Source organism: Homo sapiens, chromosome 5 (assembly GCF_000001405.40).
Source record: "Homo sapiens chromosome 5, GRCh38.p14 Primary Assembly".
NCBI lineage: Eukaryota > Metazoa > Chordata > Mammalia > Primates > Hominidae > Homo > Homo sapiens.
This window is the reverse complement of record NC_000005.10, coordinates 74,640,976-74,657,581: the sequence shown is the minus strand read 5'-3', so window position 1 is coordinate 74,657,581 and position 16,606 is coordinate 74,640,976. Positions and strand designations below refer to the sequence as shown.

The following is a 16,606-nucleotide window of genomic DNA, read 5'->3' as shown; positions in this document are numbered from 1 at the left end:
AAGTTCTTCCCCATGTGGAGCTTGCTTCCTTGTGGGAGTTGTAAATAATAAATAAACAGACATTGTGAAGTGGTGATAAGTGCTCCGAAGGAAAATCCAGCAGGGTGAAGGGATGGAGAGCAAGGAGGTTGCTATTTTAGACCAGGAGCTCAGGGACAGGCTCGCTAATAGGAGTTATCTGAGCAGAGAGTTGAATGAAAGGAAAGACCTGGTCACTTGGTTATTTATGGTAAAAGTTCCAGGCAGAAGAACAGTAAGTGCCAGTGTCCTGAGGCTGGAGAGTGGTGGGTATCTGGGGACAAACAGGGCAGCCAGTGTGGCTGGAACAGAGATGAGACTGGATAAGTAGGGCCTTGTGGCTCATGGAAAGGAGATGGAAGCCACTGGAGGGTATAAAGTGTACATTTATCAGGGACAACAAAAATTCACACACACGACCCCTCCCCACCAACAGTCTGGGAGGTTCTGTGTTGCCTCCTGTTCTTGTCGCTGTGTTGACCAGGGGTGACTGTGGAAGAGCCTTAGAGGGAGCTGAGAGGCTAAAGGGTTCCTATCAGAAAGGTTATGGAGTGACTGTGGAAAGCAATGGAATCCAGAGGGCACAGCCAACGAAGCAGCAGCAAGGGGGGCTGTTACTGAGATGAGAGAGACTTTGGAAAAAGGTTTTAGAGGCTGGACGTGGTGGCTCACACCTGTAATCCCAACATTTTGGAAGGCTGAGGCGGGTGGATCACCTGAGGCCAGGAGTTCAAGACCAGCCTGGGCAACATGGTGAAACCCCGTCTCCACTAAAAATACAATAATTAGCTGGGTGTGGTGGCATGTGCCTGTAATCCCAGCTCCTCAGGAGGCTGAGGCAGGAGAATTGCTTGAACCTTGAACCCAGGAGGTGGAAGTTGCAGTGAGCCAAGATCATGCCACTGCACTACAGCCTGGGCGAAAGAGGGAGACTCCATCTCAAAACAAAAAGATTTTAGAACGTTCCACTCTGTGTCATGCAATGTGTGCAATGTGGTTCCTCATCTGCTTCTCCTGACTTTTATTTTATTTTATTTTATTTTATTTTATTTTATTTTATTTTATTTTATTTTATTTTATTTTTTGAGACAGAGTCTCACTCTGTCATCCAGGCTTCAGTGCAGTGGTGTGATCTCAGCTCATTGCAACCTGTGCCTCCCGGGTTCAAGTGATTCTCTTGCCTCAGCCTCCTGAGTAGCTGGGATTACAGGTGCCCACCACCACACCCAGCTAATTTCTGTATTTTTAGTAGAGACGGAGTTTCACCATGTTGGCCAGGCTGGTCTCGAACTGCTGACCTCAAGTGATCCACGCTGCTGACCTCAAGTGATCCACCCGGCTAGGCCTCCCCAAGTGCTGGGGTTACAGGTGTGAGCCACTGTGCCCGGCCTCCAAGGGACTTCTTACATTAAGTTGCAAGGCTTTTTTGGAGTTGGAGTCATGATTCTTTTGGACACAATGCTCAGCTGAGACCAACCCCAAGGTGGCCCAGCTTTATTCAGGATTCATTTTTGTTTACAAAGTCCATGAAATGATTGATGAACTAGCTACTTAATAGCCTTTTCTAGTCAATTCTAAATATTTTCCTTTTCCTTGAAGAATTATGTCACTTCAGAATATTTATGTGACTGTCATCATGCAACAGGTAATCTCAGTAGGAATCTCAAATTTGCTACTGACAGCTGTATTATCTCAGGCATGTCACTTGATCATTCCAAGTGCCAGTATTCTTACCTATAAATGGAGATAATTTTTTCTAAAATTCTATTCAGAATTTTTGAGGATAAAAAGATATTGTGTATGTAAAAAGTAATGCAAATGACAATCATTATTTTAACTGATTTCTTTTAATTAGCAATTTGGAGAGTAACATGCTCACTAAATATATGTGGAGAAAATTCAAGAAATAATTAAAATGAATGATTCTGAGGCCAGGAGCGGTGGCTCATGGCTCTAATCTCAGCACTTGGGAGGCTGAGGCAGGCGGATCACTTGAGGTCAGGAGTTTGACACCAGCCTGGCCAACGTGCTGAAATCCTGTCTCTACTAAAAATACATTTAAAAAAACAAACAAAAAAACAAACTTAGCTGGGCATTGTGGTGCAGGCCTGTAATCTCACCTACTCAGGAAGTTGAGGCAGAAGAATCACATGAATCTGGTATATGGAGGTTGCAGTGGCGAGATCGTGCCACTGCTCTCCATCCTGGGTGACAGAGCGAGATCCTGTCTCAAAAAAAAAAAAAAAAAAAAGTTTAATGCTTGAAGGGTTATTATCTCCATGTTTGTCCAGGTATTGGTTAGAACATTCTTAAAAGCTTGATGTTCTTATCGCTGCCCTTTTTAGTGCCTGTTATGAACAACCATGTCATTTTCTATCCCTTTCTTAACAGATACCTGGTGCAGTTGCTGATGAGAAGGGGCACTCAAAACCAAGGAGAAACTAGTGTGGCTTTCCCAGTGCTACACTCACCTCCACCCTCTCTGGGAGCCTCTCTTGGGGGGCTCACCTGCTCCCATGGCCTGGTCCCTGCTCCTGTGCCTGTGGGATCCAGATCCGTCCGCAGGTCAAACACCAGCTTCAGGTCCCTGGACATTTCACCTCCCATATTCAGCGGTCCTGAGCTCACCATCTCTCCACTCCCCCGCTGTCCCAGTCAATGGCATCATCTGCAGTTTGTGTGTGTCCTGCTTCCCGGCCTCTCTCTTAGTGTAGCCCCTCATCATTGCCCACATTCAATTCACAGCTGCCCCTGGCCTGGCCTAGCTCCCCTCTAGCGCACTCCCCACATGGCAGCCAGAGTGTTGCTCTAAAATACTCGATTATGTCTTTCTAGTTTAACCTTTCAGAGGTTCCCTGTGGCTTTAGGCCCCATGTGCCTTGTGAGGCTCATTCCTTATTCCTCGTTTCCCCCTCTAGATCCACTAAACTCTCATACCCAGCTCAGAAATCACCTCCTCCTGAAAGCCTTCCCTCATCTGCCTAGAAAGTCTCTCATTTTTCTACACTGTATGCAATGTATTTATTTATATATTGGACCCTCTTAACCAGTAAGGGTTTACCTCACTTCCAAGGAGGCATTATTTCAGGGAATTGGGGAGCTGTTAGTATATCTCGTGGGAATGTCTTTGTGTGATTCTGTGGTTACAGCCATCTTCTGCAATGCTGCGTCTTGTCAGGCCTCTGGACTCAAGTGTGTTTTGCAGACCAGCAGTGTCGGCATCACCTGGGAGCTCGTTAGAAATGCAAAATTTCTGCCCCCATCCCAGACTTCTTGAATCAGAATCTGCAGTTTAACAAGTTCCCCAAGTGATTCGTGTGCACATTAAAGTTTGAGAAGCACTGGATAAATACCTGCTGTCTTGGAGACAGATGTTTTCAGTGAGCCACATTCCAGAGATGCATTGGCTCCTCACACTCAGGAGCACCTAGTGTGAGCTGGCTACACCTGGGTCCACAAGAATGATCTTGGGTGGGGCAAAGGGAGTGAGGGCAGCTTCACCAGGATGGAGCCGGGAGGACTCACTGTCTACACCTGGAGCCCCTCAAGCTGGCGTCCATAGGATAAGTGACACCTTGATCTTTTTTTTGCATGGGAAATTGAGATGTTTGGCATGGGCATGGCCTTATTACTGATTTAGAAGCCTGCAACTAGACCACACCCCTACTAGTCTCTGAGCTCTTTGAAGATGTGACCTATCGACCTCTATAACCAGACACATAGTAGGCGTTCAATAAATTTTTTCTGTTGAATTTTGGCTTATGTGCTATCTTTCCATTGTGCCTTTCATAACTCTCTGGTCAGCAGAGTGTACAATCCACTGATTTTGACAGAAGGATTTCAGTCATGCCAGGTTTACAATTCCAGGAACTTTATCAGGGCTTGACAGTATCACTTTTGGCCAAAAGTAACTATGACATCAACATCACAACTCCTATGAAAGCACCCCTTAGCAAACTGTAAATCTATATTGTACATTCAAGCAAAGAGAGAGGATGTATTTAATGGTTTAAAGTTGAGATCCTGCAGGAATTGATCACAGAAGCCCTGAAACCATGGCCTGGAAGGTTGGCTTTTGGAGCTTGCTGACCCAATGGTTTCATATGCTTTGCTGGCTTCTGTTGTTTCAGGTGGGAGCAGAAAGCGATTCCCTGCTACTTCATCTTGGCCAGAGGGGAAAGTTGCCCACCTATATTTTTTACATAGTATTTTTGTAGTGTTTTAATATTCACTGAATGATCCAGGAGTGGGATTACTGTGTAAATTGAGGGACAGCTACTTTTTTTAAACTTTAGCAAGAATTGATCATTTTGTAAAAATTACTTTAAAAAATTATTGACGTAATGTGAGTCATGGTACTTGAAGGGCCAATAGAGTACCCAGTTTCAGTCTGCATTTGTAGAAGCGTATTCACAATGACTCTGCATGTGTGTGTAACCACCTGACTCTTTTTATAATGCCTCCTACTGTAGTCAAGCTAGAGCATTCACATATTTGAGTGCATATAATTTTATTATACTTTTCTATTGGGTCCTCCTTTACATTACAGTTAAGAAATGTTAAAGTTTTTTGAAGTTATATTCAATAGAGTCTATTATCTATAAATTCCATTTCAGTAAAGCAAAGAGGGCATTAAAAATGACTGGTATATAAAGGGATATGTGTCACTAGCGTAGATGTGTGTAGTCGCCCAAGAGGGAGGCTTTTCCCCCTTGCTCCTTATGGGATGGGCCTGGGACTGCAGTGAGACAAGACTGAGTAGCCACCTTATTGGAGCTCAGAGAGGGTGATGGTTATCTCGGAGCTGGTGCTGTGGGCAGATGTGGGAGGACCAGATGAGCCTCTATCCCTGACTTTTGGCTGCTCAAGAACACTTTGGAACTTGGACACAATCCTGGGGGTAGTGGGGGTAAGGGAGGGAATCCCTTACATGACTCAAATGAAGTTTCCACCAAACTAGCAGATTAGGGTCTTATGGTAAAAAGTTCTGTTCTAGAAAAATTAAGTTACATTTTCTTATGGTCTGTTTGTCCTAACTATACCCAACTATGAGGACTCTTTTGAATGTAAAAAATTTTGCAAAACATCCCAACACATGGGAGCGGCTGCAATTTTCGTACCATTGATTAAGCAAATACATGAAGGCAAACGGCTACTGTGTATTCAGGAGTGGCTTGCTTGCTGGACACGTGGGCCAGGAGGCCCACACACTAGGAGAGCACAGCTCTGAAAAAGAAAGCGAGGGGTCTGGATTCTGCCATTTAATAACTGGATTCTTGCACAAGTTCAAACGCATCATTGCCCCTGTTTCCTCATGAGCAAAATGGAGATAATGATAGTATCTACCTCCTGGGATTGTTGAGAGGTAAACCACTGTGACTCTAAATGGACATTAATTATTATTTATGGTTGATCCATGCATATGTATTACCTACTCACGTAAAAGAGTTCATCATTTTAATTTCCACGTAGACATCTCATGCCAGAGTTGAGTATTAGACCAAGCAAAAGAATGCAGTGTCTGACTTTTTAGACACGTCCTAGTTTGTCTGGCATAAGAGTAGTTTTACACAGAGCTGGCAAATAGACTTACCTACCTGACCACAGGCCAGGAGGATTTGTGCTGGCATGTTCGAATTAATAACCCATTACTTATTGTGAACCTGGAGATATGCTCTGGCTTTCCATTACCTAAGTCTTATCACTTCTAGCACCAAGGCATACAGACCAATTAATCACCCAGGAGCAGAAATGAATTACCTCAGCCTTTGGGTGACTTGCTGTTTGGGTGATTTAATACTTCTTATCATGAGAGGAAAAGCACAGAGATGCTGGTTAGTTTATCCATAGAAAGGTTCATGCTTCAAAAGAGACCTCGGTTATTTGTACAGGTTTATTCATCATATGTCAATGATCGTCCTTGCTTGGAGATTTGGGGGAATCCTCCTTTAAGTGATGTCCCTGAATGTGGTCCTATTTCTTGAGGCATCCAATGAAACTGATTAAGCAAAATATTCTGGAAATGAAGCTTTCTAGATAGCCTAAGGCAAATCATTTGGGGTTAGTCCAAGGTGAAAATTTATTTGAAATGTTTTGTTAGACTTTCTTGCCTTAGCGAGTATAGAACAAAGGGCATAATTTTGATATTTCTTTGTGAGGTACTAGGAAGAGCCATTCATTCATTTGTTAAACGTATTAAATTTATTCATGCTATAAATAGTTACATTACTACTGTGTGCTGCGCTAAGGGTTAGACACACAGTGGTGAAAAGACAGAGGTAGTCTAATGGAGGCCAAGAGAACCCATGTTTAGGCTGAAATGCCACCATTTAGCAAATATGTGATCCTGGGCAAAGTATTTATTCTCTCAGACTCAGTTTCTCATCAGTAAAATGGGGCCCAATAATTATAATACCCACCTTGCAGGGATACCTGAGCATCACAAAGCATAAAAGCATTCTGAAACTGAAGATCTCTATGAATGGTCATATTACTGAATGGCTGAGAAACTTGCTTTATGAAAATTATCCCAAATCATCCAAACATTACATCATTGTAAGAGATGAAGCCATTTCTTCTAACTATTGTATTAAAAAACATTTATTTTTGCAGTTGCCTTTTTTTTTTTTTTTTTTTTTGAGACAGAGTCTCACGCTGTTGCCCAGGCTGGAGTGCAGTGGCGTGATCCCAGCTCACTGCAAGCTCTGCCTCCCAGGTTCACGCCATTCTCCTCCCTCAGCCTCCCGAGTAGCTGGGACTACAGGTGCCCACCACCACGCCCAGCTAATTTTTTTTTTTGTATTTTTAGTAGAGATGGGACTTCACCGTGTTAGCCCGGATGGTCTCGATCTCCTGACCCCGTGATCCACCCGCCTTGGCCTCCCAAAGTGCTGGGATGACAGGCGTGAGCCACCGCGCCTGGCCTGCAGTTGACTTTTAAAACTTCCTCATATTCGGCAAAGTAGTAACTACACATGGAGGCACACTCAGTACCGAGGGACAAGAGGAAAGGCAGCAGACCCCTGACACCTCCAACCCCCTTCTCCAGCCCAATCTGCGGAGGGGGCCATGAAACAGTTGCTATTTTCTGTTCTTCAGCTTTACCCCATAATAATATTGCCCTTATACTGTTAGTTCATGTTTATCAAGTAAATCTTACCAATTTGTTGCTTAGGTAAACATCATTTGCTTTTAAAAGAATGCTCCAACAGGGATATGTTTTTGTGTGTTTAGCATCTGTCCTCTAAAAGTTCAGTGTAGGAAAAATGTTTTATTAATTATTCTAGTGAGCTGGCTTCTAGACGATTGAGGTTTTACTGTGTTTGGCTTCTTCAAGAAGTGAAAGGCACTGTAACATGCTCGAGGAGGTTCCGTGCCCGCTCACTGACAGCATGCTTTGCATCTGTAAACCATTGTCCTATATAAAGACTTCAAACTTCAGCTGAATCTGTGCATCGTGGGTTTTTAAACATAATGTCACAGTTGCTGGCTACAGCCAAGAAGTTAAACACTTCCTTCATTTTCCATTGCATTTTTGCTCCAGATCCTTCCAGGAGGATACCCAGAGCTTGCCTGGACATTTGGATTACAGATTTCAAAGTGGGAAAAAGATGCTTCTCTCAATATTTGGGATTTGATCATAGTTGGGGAAACAGTGCTTCATTCCATAGTTAAGGAACTATGTCTGATCTAAATTTAAAAGAGCAATTTGATTAGGACATTCCTTTGCTTGTGAACTGATGTAACAATCTCTTATGGGTACTGTGTGCCAGAATGAAAGAATGATCTGGTAAGACATTCAATCAACTATGGTAAAAGAGTACAAGTGGATTAAAAAAACACAACTATACCATTTTAGTCAATTGATTCCAGCTTCTCATTTGTCACACCTTTATCAGGCCTGTCAACATGGAGCAAAGTAAACCAAGAAAATCATTTCTTAGAAATCCACTGGGTATGTGCCAGGTGTTCAAGGCTGGCATTCCAGAGAACAGAAAAGAATGGGCCTTAGATAATCAGGAAAATAGAGGAGGCAATGTAGTTCAGTGGTTAAGCACTCAGCTCTTGGCTTCACCGAAGTGAGACATTATTCTTTCAGGGTTGCTGTGGGGATTAAAGGAAATAAGCATAGAAAGTGCCTAGCACACAAGACCATATAAATGTTAGGGATTCTAGTCATTGTTACTAGCTCCAAGACCATCCCATTGGACAAATGAGTCCCTGTCCAGGGGCCCTCAGGACAACTTATATTATTATTGTGCACAGAGGGGGCAGTGGCACTGGGTTGGCTAGTTGGAAATTGCTCAGTCTCTGCTGAGAAAATACATGACCCAGCTGTGCCCTCTGCTAGCCAGTCTAAGGAACACAGGAGCTCACGGCATTGTTGCAGGCCGGCCGGACCCCAGATTACATTTGGCATTGCTCATTTGAATGCAGAAACTTTAGGGCTATGACAGCAAGAGTGGCTGCTCAAACGGATCCACAAGGGTCTACACACAATGTTCATTGTTTTCTTTTTCGGTAGGGTTGGTTTTGAATATCTTCAGACCCTTCTATAATTGGTTTTTCATTGTAGCCAGAAGAGGGCACTATTGCTTTACCCAAATTCTGTGCTGTGGTCTGTGGAAACCCGCATTTGTGTTCTGTGCTACAGTGTTCCATTCCTGGTTTTGTTGAGGGTGGCAGTTTCATTCTTAGGTGACTAGCACAAGAAACACACAAACAAGCAAAAAAAGCAAAACAAACTTTTGTCCATAATAACACACATGCAAAAAATTGGGATGTGGAAAGTTGTTTATATTTTATTAAGCCATAGAAAATTATGTATGGAATTTTAAAAATGAACATGTATGCCGATGACATTGATCAAGATTCTGCCTGGAAAACCACTGTTTGAAAAATTAGAATGTACCTAGGTGTTCCTGTTCACTTTCAACAAGTGTCCTAGAAGAGGTGTAGAAGAAATTGGTGCAGTTTTGGAAAACCCCGGGATGTTTCCTCCCACTATTAAGACAGTATAAGGGCAATATAACTGTGGGGTAAAGCTGAAGAACAGAAAATAGGAATGGTTGCATGGTTCTTTCTGCAGATTGTGCTGGAGAAGGGGATTGGAGGTGTCAGGGGACTGCACCTTTCCTCTTGTCCTTCGGTACTATTTGAGTGTGCCTCCATGTGTGTTTACTACTTTGACTAATATTAAGAATTTAAAAAGTCAACTACAAAAGTAAATATGTTTTTTAATACAATAGTCAGAAGAAATGGTTTCATCTCTTACAATAATCTAATGCTTGGACCATTTGGGATAATTTTCTTAAGGCAATGCAAGTTTCTCAGGCATTAAATAAAAGACCATTCACAGAGATCTTCAGTTTCAGAGTGCTTTTATGCTCTATAATCCTCAAGTATCCCTGCAAACTGGATATTATAATTATTAGGCCCCATTTTACTGATGAGAAACTGAGTCTGAGAGAATAAATACTTTGCCCAGGATCACATATTTGCTAAATGGTGGCATTTCAGCCTAAACATGGGTTCTCTTGGCCTCCATTAGACCACCTCTGTCTTTCAGAGTTGAAAGGAGATACCTTCCAAATGCAAATACAAGTACACTGATGGCAGGCCAAGCCTAGACACTGTAAGATCACAATGAAAGGCTGGGAGAGAAGCCTAGTGAAACTGGGATATTCCTTAGCACGATGCCTGTAAATAAATATTTGTTGAATGAATGACTGATTGGCTAAATGAATGAAACCACAATTTCTCAGATAACTGTGGGTATGAAAACTGACATAACTATTTGAATATACATACTTTTAAAAAGTTACCATTTCCTCCTGATATGTCAATATTTCCAAATATCCTCAGATAAAGAAATTGCAAGTCTTCCAACTTTATTTGGGATCTTATAGTGAATGTTTTCTAAAATTACTTACGAGGCTAAGAGAAATTTGCGGATGCTTGTATATATCCTTGTTCATGTCGTGTTTTCAAAATCATGAGGAGAAACACTTATGGAAACTTTCTTTCTGACAACACACGCATCAGTGTCTCTATCTCTTTCTTCATTCTTTGTTCATTCTGCTAATGTTAACTTGCAGCTTCCTGATTTCAGACTCCTGCCCAAGCTGAGCTATAAGCAGTAAGTAGCATCTGTGCTTGCAGAGTACCATAAAATCCTTTTAATATTCATTCAAAGGTGCAAGCCCTTGGACCACAAAGGTCCCTTCTTCTAGTCCCTTCTTCATGCCCAGACATGCTTAGAGACTTGGCATTGTGCCCTAGAAGCAGAGCATAGAGGCCAAACAAAACCTGCATTTTCATTGCTTCAAACAACGGTCAATTGTTGAATGTAATTACTTAGAACAAATTAAGAGTTTGGATCCAGGAGCCTTGGGGTACTCAAAAGAAAAACAGGGAGAAAAATGGTTCAGGATTCCCCTGGGTTGTGCAAAGCCACACCCCACAGAGGCCTTGTGTGATTCTGATAGATCTGAGTGAGCTTTTACCAAGCACACTCTCCAAGCTCTTCAGGGCAGGAAAAAGTAGGCATCTATATTCCATGTGTGATGTGTTTTGGCAGGGCTACCTTCTTCTAAATATAGCTAGCTATTTCTTTTTAAAACGTGTGATTTCTTAAATTCTTTTCCCTTTGCAGCAGCTTCGTTTTTTAAAGTAATGGAGAATGAAGAATGAATTGTTGCCGGGCGTGGTGGCTCACGCCTGTAATCCCAGCACTTTGGGAGGCTGAGGTGGGTGTATCACGAGGTCAGGAGTTCAAGACCAGCCTGGCCAAGATGGTGAAACCTCATCTCTACTAAAAACACAAAAAATTAGCTGGGCGCGGTGGCAGACGCCTGTAATCCCAGCTACTCGGGAGGCTGAGGCAGGAGAATCGCTTGAACTCGGAGGGCAGAGGTTGCAGTGAGCCGAGATCATGCCACTGCACTCCAGCCTGGGTGACAGAGTGAGACTCTGTCTCAAAAAAAAAAAAAAAAGAATGAATTGTTTGTTCATTGTCAACTTAAGACCAGTGGTCCCAGTACAAAACAGGAAGACAGTATCAATAACAGATGGGAAAAGGCAAAGGCAGACTCCATGAATCTGAGCTTTTGTTGCAAAAGCTGTCTGCTTTTTGGGTGTGCAAGAAGAGCAGAGCCTCAAGTAAACACTCTAAGAGATCTGTGAACTCATTCAAGACACCAGTGTGTCCCTTAACCCAGTGCTACTGAGCAGATGTGGAAATAAGAGTTTGATAAAGATTCAAGTCACTTTTATTTAGGAGAGTTACTTGGAAGGAAATATCTACAGGTTTCAAGAATATCATTCTCCTTAAGCAGTTTACTAAGGAATCATTATAAAAGCCAGCATTATATAGCCCTTCCCACATACCAAGCACTGTTCTATGTACTTTACACATACTAATTTATTTAATCCACAAAACAACCTTCCAGCCAGGTACTGTTACTATCCCATACTACAGATTAGGAAATGAAGGCACCGAGATATTGCCATACTTGCCCCTCAAACACCCAGCTACTAAATATAAAAGTAGGGATCCAAGTTTGGTTCTAGAGTCTCTACTCTTAATCACATAACTGTTAAAAAAAAATAGTATGCAGACATAGGAAGAATGGAACTTAAATGGAGATTAATGAGTGTCATTATCTCCAAGTGATAGGTTTGCGGCTCTTCTTTTGCTTTTCTGTGTTTTCTATATTTCTACCATACATTGTTCTGAGAAAATAATAAGCGCTGTTTTAAATGCTGACCCTAAAATCTATAACCTACAATAGGCTGTGAAGATAATTGTCTTGAAAGGCCCTGGAGTAGAAACAACATAAGCAGTCTAGATCACTTGATTTCCTAATGACCTAACTTTATAGAGTAATACAAGGAAAGTGACTCAAATATGTCTCTCTCCAGTCCTGTAAGCAGCCAATAAACTGTCTACTCCTTGAAATGTCACTCCTTGAAGGGCTGTATAAGGTGAAGGAGTCTCAAAGGAAGAATGAATTTCCCATCTATAACAAGCCCCTAATAGAGGAGCTCAACACGAACAGTGGTGCTTAGTACTTACGGGACAAAGACAGACTTTCACACAACATTTTCCATTAAAAATCATAATACAAAAGTCAATTGTATTTATATGTAGCAGTAGTGAACAATTGGAATTTGAAGTTAAAAATCATACTATATGGAGCCAGGTACCATGGCACCCGCTTGCAGTCCCAGCTACTCAGGAGGAAGAGGCAGGAGGATGGCTTGAGCCCAGGAGTTATACGCTGCAGTGAACCATGTCGGCCTGTGAATAGCCACTGCACTCCAGCCTGGCAACTTAGCACGGGCTCACCTCTAAAAACAATCATACTATACAATCCAGCTTAATTCACAAAATACACATAAGGTGACACACATAATGGATGTAGGAAGCAACTGAAATGTTAAAATATGATCAAACCAATTCGGATGCAATCTTAAGAATACTCCTAAGGAGGCCAGGAGTGGTGGCTCACACCTGTAATCCCAGCACTTTGGGAGGCTGACATGGGTGGATCACCTGAGGTCAGGAGTTCGAGACCAGCTTGGTCAACATGATGGACCCCTGTCTGTACTAAAAATACAAAAATTAGCCGGATGTGGTGGCAGGCGCCTGTAGTCCCATTTACTTGAGAGGCTGAGGCAGGAGAATTGCTTGAATCTGAGAGGGGGAGGTTGTAGTGAGCCGAGATTGCGCCACTGCACTCCAGCCTGGGCAACAGAGTGAGACTCTGTCTCAAAAAAAAAAAAAAAAAAAAAAAAAGGAAAAAAAAGAGGAAGAATACTCTCAAGGTTTATCATGACAGATATTTAACATAAACATAACTTTTTTTAACGCACAAAGATAGAAGATGGCAAACCAAAATTTAGAAAACTATCGATTTAGACCCTTTGTCTTCCCCAGACAAAAAAGTGATAACTGTTTTATAAAATGCTGATAATTTCTTGTATCGATTACCTGTGTTTTTCCTTATTCTCATCTCTTTAATAAACAGCCAGACTTTCCTCTCTCTCTCTTTTTAAAAATAAGAGGATTGCTGATGGAAGCTGAGGTCTCATTTTCCTAGGTTTGTATATCTGTATTCTCACTGTTCTGAGGTCTTCAGATCCTCCTTTGGGAATGGAGGGCTTATTCCTCCAGCCTCTGTGTGTGCTGGCAGCTCCCTCAGCAAAAGAGCACCACCTTGCCCAAAGCCATGGTCCCTTCCCTGGGCAAGCTGCATTCAGCAACTGGGTGATGTAGCCCTATAAAAGCCTTCTTGCCCTAAATGCAGACAACCTGTGAGGCCATTTCAGCTCCAGAGGTCCCCATGGCGTCAGCCAAGGCTTGGCTGAGACCACATCCCAGCTCAGCATCTCCATCTGTCCACCCTGCTTCCCTCCCTTCCCCTTCAGGGATGTTGATCGCAACATATGTGCTACTGGGAGGTGTGGTCCCTGACTGGGCGTCCACTTCCCAACACGAACTTGACACTATGGAAGGGGAGCACAAATCTTTGGTGGGCAGTTGGCCCCTCTGCCACACTCTGTCTCCAGGACACAGCCTTGAAGTCCATCTAGCAAATAACTCGGGGAAGGAAAGCTGTGCTATCTTCCTTGCACAGATTCAGAAAGTGTCCTCATAAAACAAAGAGGGCGCTTTTGGAATACCAGCAGGGAACATGTCTGAATTTGGGTGGGGCTTCAGGAGACCACCGGAGGCAGGATGGCAGCTGCTTAGCCTACTGTTTGGTCTAATTCCCTGAGCTGTCCTGTCCCTGGTACCATGATCGCACCGTGTTAATTAAATCATTCTCATTAATTCAGCCCAAGTGTAAATTAGGAAGGAATGAAGATAAATTAGGTTTGAAGGCAGCTAATACATTTAACCGCATGCTGCTTATTTTGCGGCCTAACAAAATAACATTGTTAGGGGAGATAACAAGCCCAAAGCCTTGGGCACAGCTTCTTAATAGCATTAAAAAATGAGACTTTGGTTTGATGTCACAAGACAGAGGCAAAGACCTGCTCCCAAGGGCCTACAGGACTGGCCTAATGTCTTGTGTGAAGTGTTGGCTATTGTGTAATGCGGATACAGTGTAAGCAGCATTTCCTGACTTGTTTGTGACTCAGATATCTGCTATGTCTATGGTCGTCCAGTTTTGATGACAGCCCTGTTTAGAAGTTTCTTCCTGTACAAAATGAAGACTTGCTCAGCTTTTCTTTGTGTGAGTGGGGTGATAAGAGTTACCTTTAGGATTGGCTGAGAGATGCTGTGGGATTACACCGTTTGAATTGCTATGATCATAAATTTGCTAACTTGCAAATCATTTTCAGCTGAGATAAGCATTAAAAACTGCCCAACTGCCCGAAAACTAGTCATAGATTGGCTCAAGCAAACCAGAGTACAGTTTGTAGGAGGTCATCAGTAGCACCCATGATTTCCAAACTTGCAAGTTTAGTTCTTGTGACTTTCAGCAGGAAAATGTTTTCCAGTTTTTAGGACTTACATAAGCTAATTTCTTTTCTCTTGTATTGCTTATCTCCCCGAGGCAGATGAAGCGAATGTATACGGTCACTGAATGCATTTCAAGATTTTCCAGTCTACAGCTTTTTTTCCCTTTCTTCTATTGAAGCATAGAAAGTGGCAACATTAGGTAGAAAAGATACAGGAAAGTGGCACCAGCGGATGGTGACACAATGGCCAGCGGATTTCTTTCCTTTCTCAGCCCTGCCTGCTTAGCAAAGTTCTTTGCAAAGGGATCTGAACTTTGCTGTTCCCTTGGTTAAGGACATCCCGCAATTTCTAGGTGGTAAAGATACATACCTGTCCCTAGTTCTGTCGCTTCCTGTGGCAAAATCCCCAACCAACCAGCTGAGCTATGTACATAGTCCATTTCTAGGCAAGGTCATCTAGGTGCCGTTTTAGGTAGATTTGACTCACAAAGGAAGCAGACAGAGTGGGTCTAGGAGGTGTCTAAAAGGTGCGTTGGTGGCTGCCTTGATGAGCTCCCCCACACCTTGCCACAGGCTACAGAAACATGTTTTAAAAAGACATATGTGCAATAGTTACACATTTCCGCCTCCCATCTTTTCAGCACCTATCTCTGGAGTCTACAGAGTTTCCATCTGTCTGGTCTTTGCTTCAGAACCTGGGTGCTGCTTGCCAGCCCTCTCCTAACCTCGCAGCCCCCCTGGCTCTCCATACGTGGTTCTTGACATGAATTGATCCGGGCTGTCTCTGTGAATCAGCCTCAAGCCGAGACTCTGCATTAAAAAATATATATATTGAAAGGTTCGTGGTGAGGCTGCCGAGTTAATGCTAACAAAGGACTTCAGAGGGCACTGTCTTTCTTTGTTTGCAAGGAGCGAAATTTCTCGGCGCAAATACCAGGAAGGAACAAGGATAAAGGAAAATGAAATTAGAATGAAGAACTGACAGTCTTGGTTTCAGCAGTCTGGACTCTGGAAGCGCCATGTGGGGCCTCCTTAGCCAGTTTAAATCGCTCCTGCGCCTAGTGTTTTAAAGCAAGCTGGGAGGCGAAGCGCGGGCGCTTGGGGACGCGGGGACCCGGGGACGGAATAAACTCTGTCGTGGGGCCCTCACTCTCGAGCTGCAGAGCTGGGACATTGTTGCTAAGTGACTACGAGCCAGGCAATTCACATCTCCCTGGGCCTCGGTTCCCCACCTGTAAAACAAGGGGGCTGGACCGGTCATCTATCCCGTTCATTTATAGACTTAGCTCCAAATACCGAATAAAAGACAGATATTTTAACTCCCAGTGGAAAGACAAGCCTCTAGTTGCAAAGATAAATGGGATTCGTAAAAGTGATCACCACGCGAGATTATTTTTCGAATCGCCTTCCCTTCTCCTGACACGCGGGACTATTAAACGTGTGTGTGTGCTGGGCCATTTCTTTACTGAACTCCAAACTAACACCACCGAGCGATAAAAAACAGGAGAAGGTGATGGAGGCTTAATCGCTAGGAGAGGAGGCGGCGTGGCTGCTGCTTTGAGGAGTTCACTTTGAATCAAGCGGCCGCGGCGATTGGCTGAAAAGCACGTGGTGCGCGCCCCGCAGGACTGCGCCCCGGCTGCCCCTGCAGTCGCCTGGCTTAGGGCAGAGTCCAGCCGGGGGTGCCGCACCCACTGGGGAGTGGGGAGGGAGGACACATAGGAAATGCCTGGGGCTGGAGTCTCTTTGGCTCTCTGCCAGCAAGAAACTTAAACGTCCTGGCTTGCTCAACCCGAGTGTCCCTAAACTGTCCAGACTTTTGCCCGTCCATTGCCACTATCTCTCCCCACTCTGGGTGTCCTACCCAAGGCGCTGTCTATGCGTGCCCAGGGCCTGTCCTGCGGATACCCAGCTCGCCCCTTGCAGCCCTTTTTAGAGCATCTCGCGGGCTCTGGCATCACCAAGCGCACAGCCCCGGGCTGCGCTCCCCTAAGGTGGGTCCCTCAGATCCGGGGCTGTCCATTAACCAGGCTGGCCCAAAGAGGCGCAGACACTCGAACCCGGGAAAACTTATTTTATTCTCGGTTCCCGGGGTTGCAGCTGCCAGCGGCTGAGA

General features: G+C 43.8%; 1 protein-coding gene across 1 annotated transcript in view, besides 4 other annotated features; it reads right to left on the bottom strand.

Annotated features, from left to right (window-relative positions):
• The window catches only part of HEXB (hexosaminidase subunit beta), an 81,266-nt gene that overhangs the window by 63,707 nt on the left and 953 nt on the right, over positions 1-16,606 (bottom strand). The gene's annotated exons all lie outside the window — the stretch shown is intronic.
• Positions 8,454-8,533: an enhancer, noted in NCBI's record as "active region_22671". NCBI's record gives its function as "activates an Ori minimal core promoter by ATAC-STARR-seq in GM12878 lymphoblastoid cells {active_cell/tissue: GM12878}" and the evidence as "EXISTENCE:reporter gene assay evidence [ECO:0000049][PMID:35858748]".
• Positions 13,944-14,238: a silencer, noted in NCBI's record as "tiled region #10699; HepG2 Repressive DNase matched - State 6:EnhF". NCBI's record gives its function as "represses a minimal TATA promoter and a strong SV40 promoter by Sharpr-MPRA in HepG2 cells {active_cell/tissue: HepG2}" and the evidence as "EXISTENCE:reporter gene assay evidence [ECO:0000049][PMID:27701403]".
• Positions 15,155-15,868: an enhancer, noted in NCBI's record as "H3K27ac-H3K4me1 hESC enhancer chr5:73937539-73938252 (GRCh37/hg19 assembly coordinates)". NCBI's record gives its function as "activates a minimal SCP1, AML or CMV promoter by ChIP-STARR-seq in naive H9 embryonic stem cells {active_cell/tissue: H9 hESC(naive)}" and the evidence as "EXISTENCE:reporter gene assay evidence [ECO:0000049][PMID:30033119]".
• Positions 15,869-16,584: an enhancer, noted in NCBI's record as "H3K27ac-H3K4me1 hESC enhancer chr5:73936823-73937538 (GRCh37/hg19 assembly coordinates)". NCBI's record gives its function as "activates a minimal SCP1, AML or CMV promoter by ChIP-STARR-seq in naive H9 embryonic stem cells {active_cell/tissue: H9 hESC(naive)}" and the evidence as "EXISTENCE:reporter gene assay evidence [ECO:0000049][PMID:30033119]".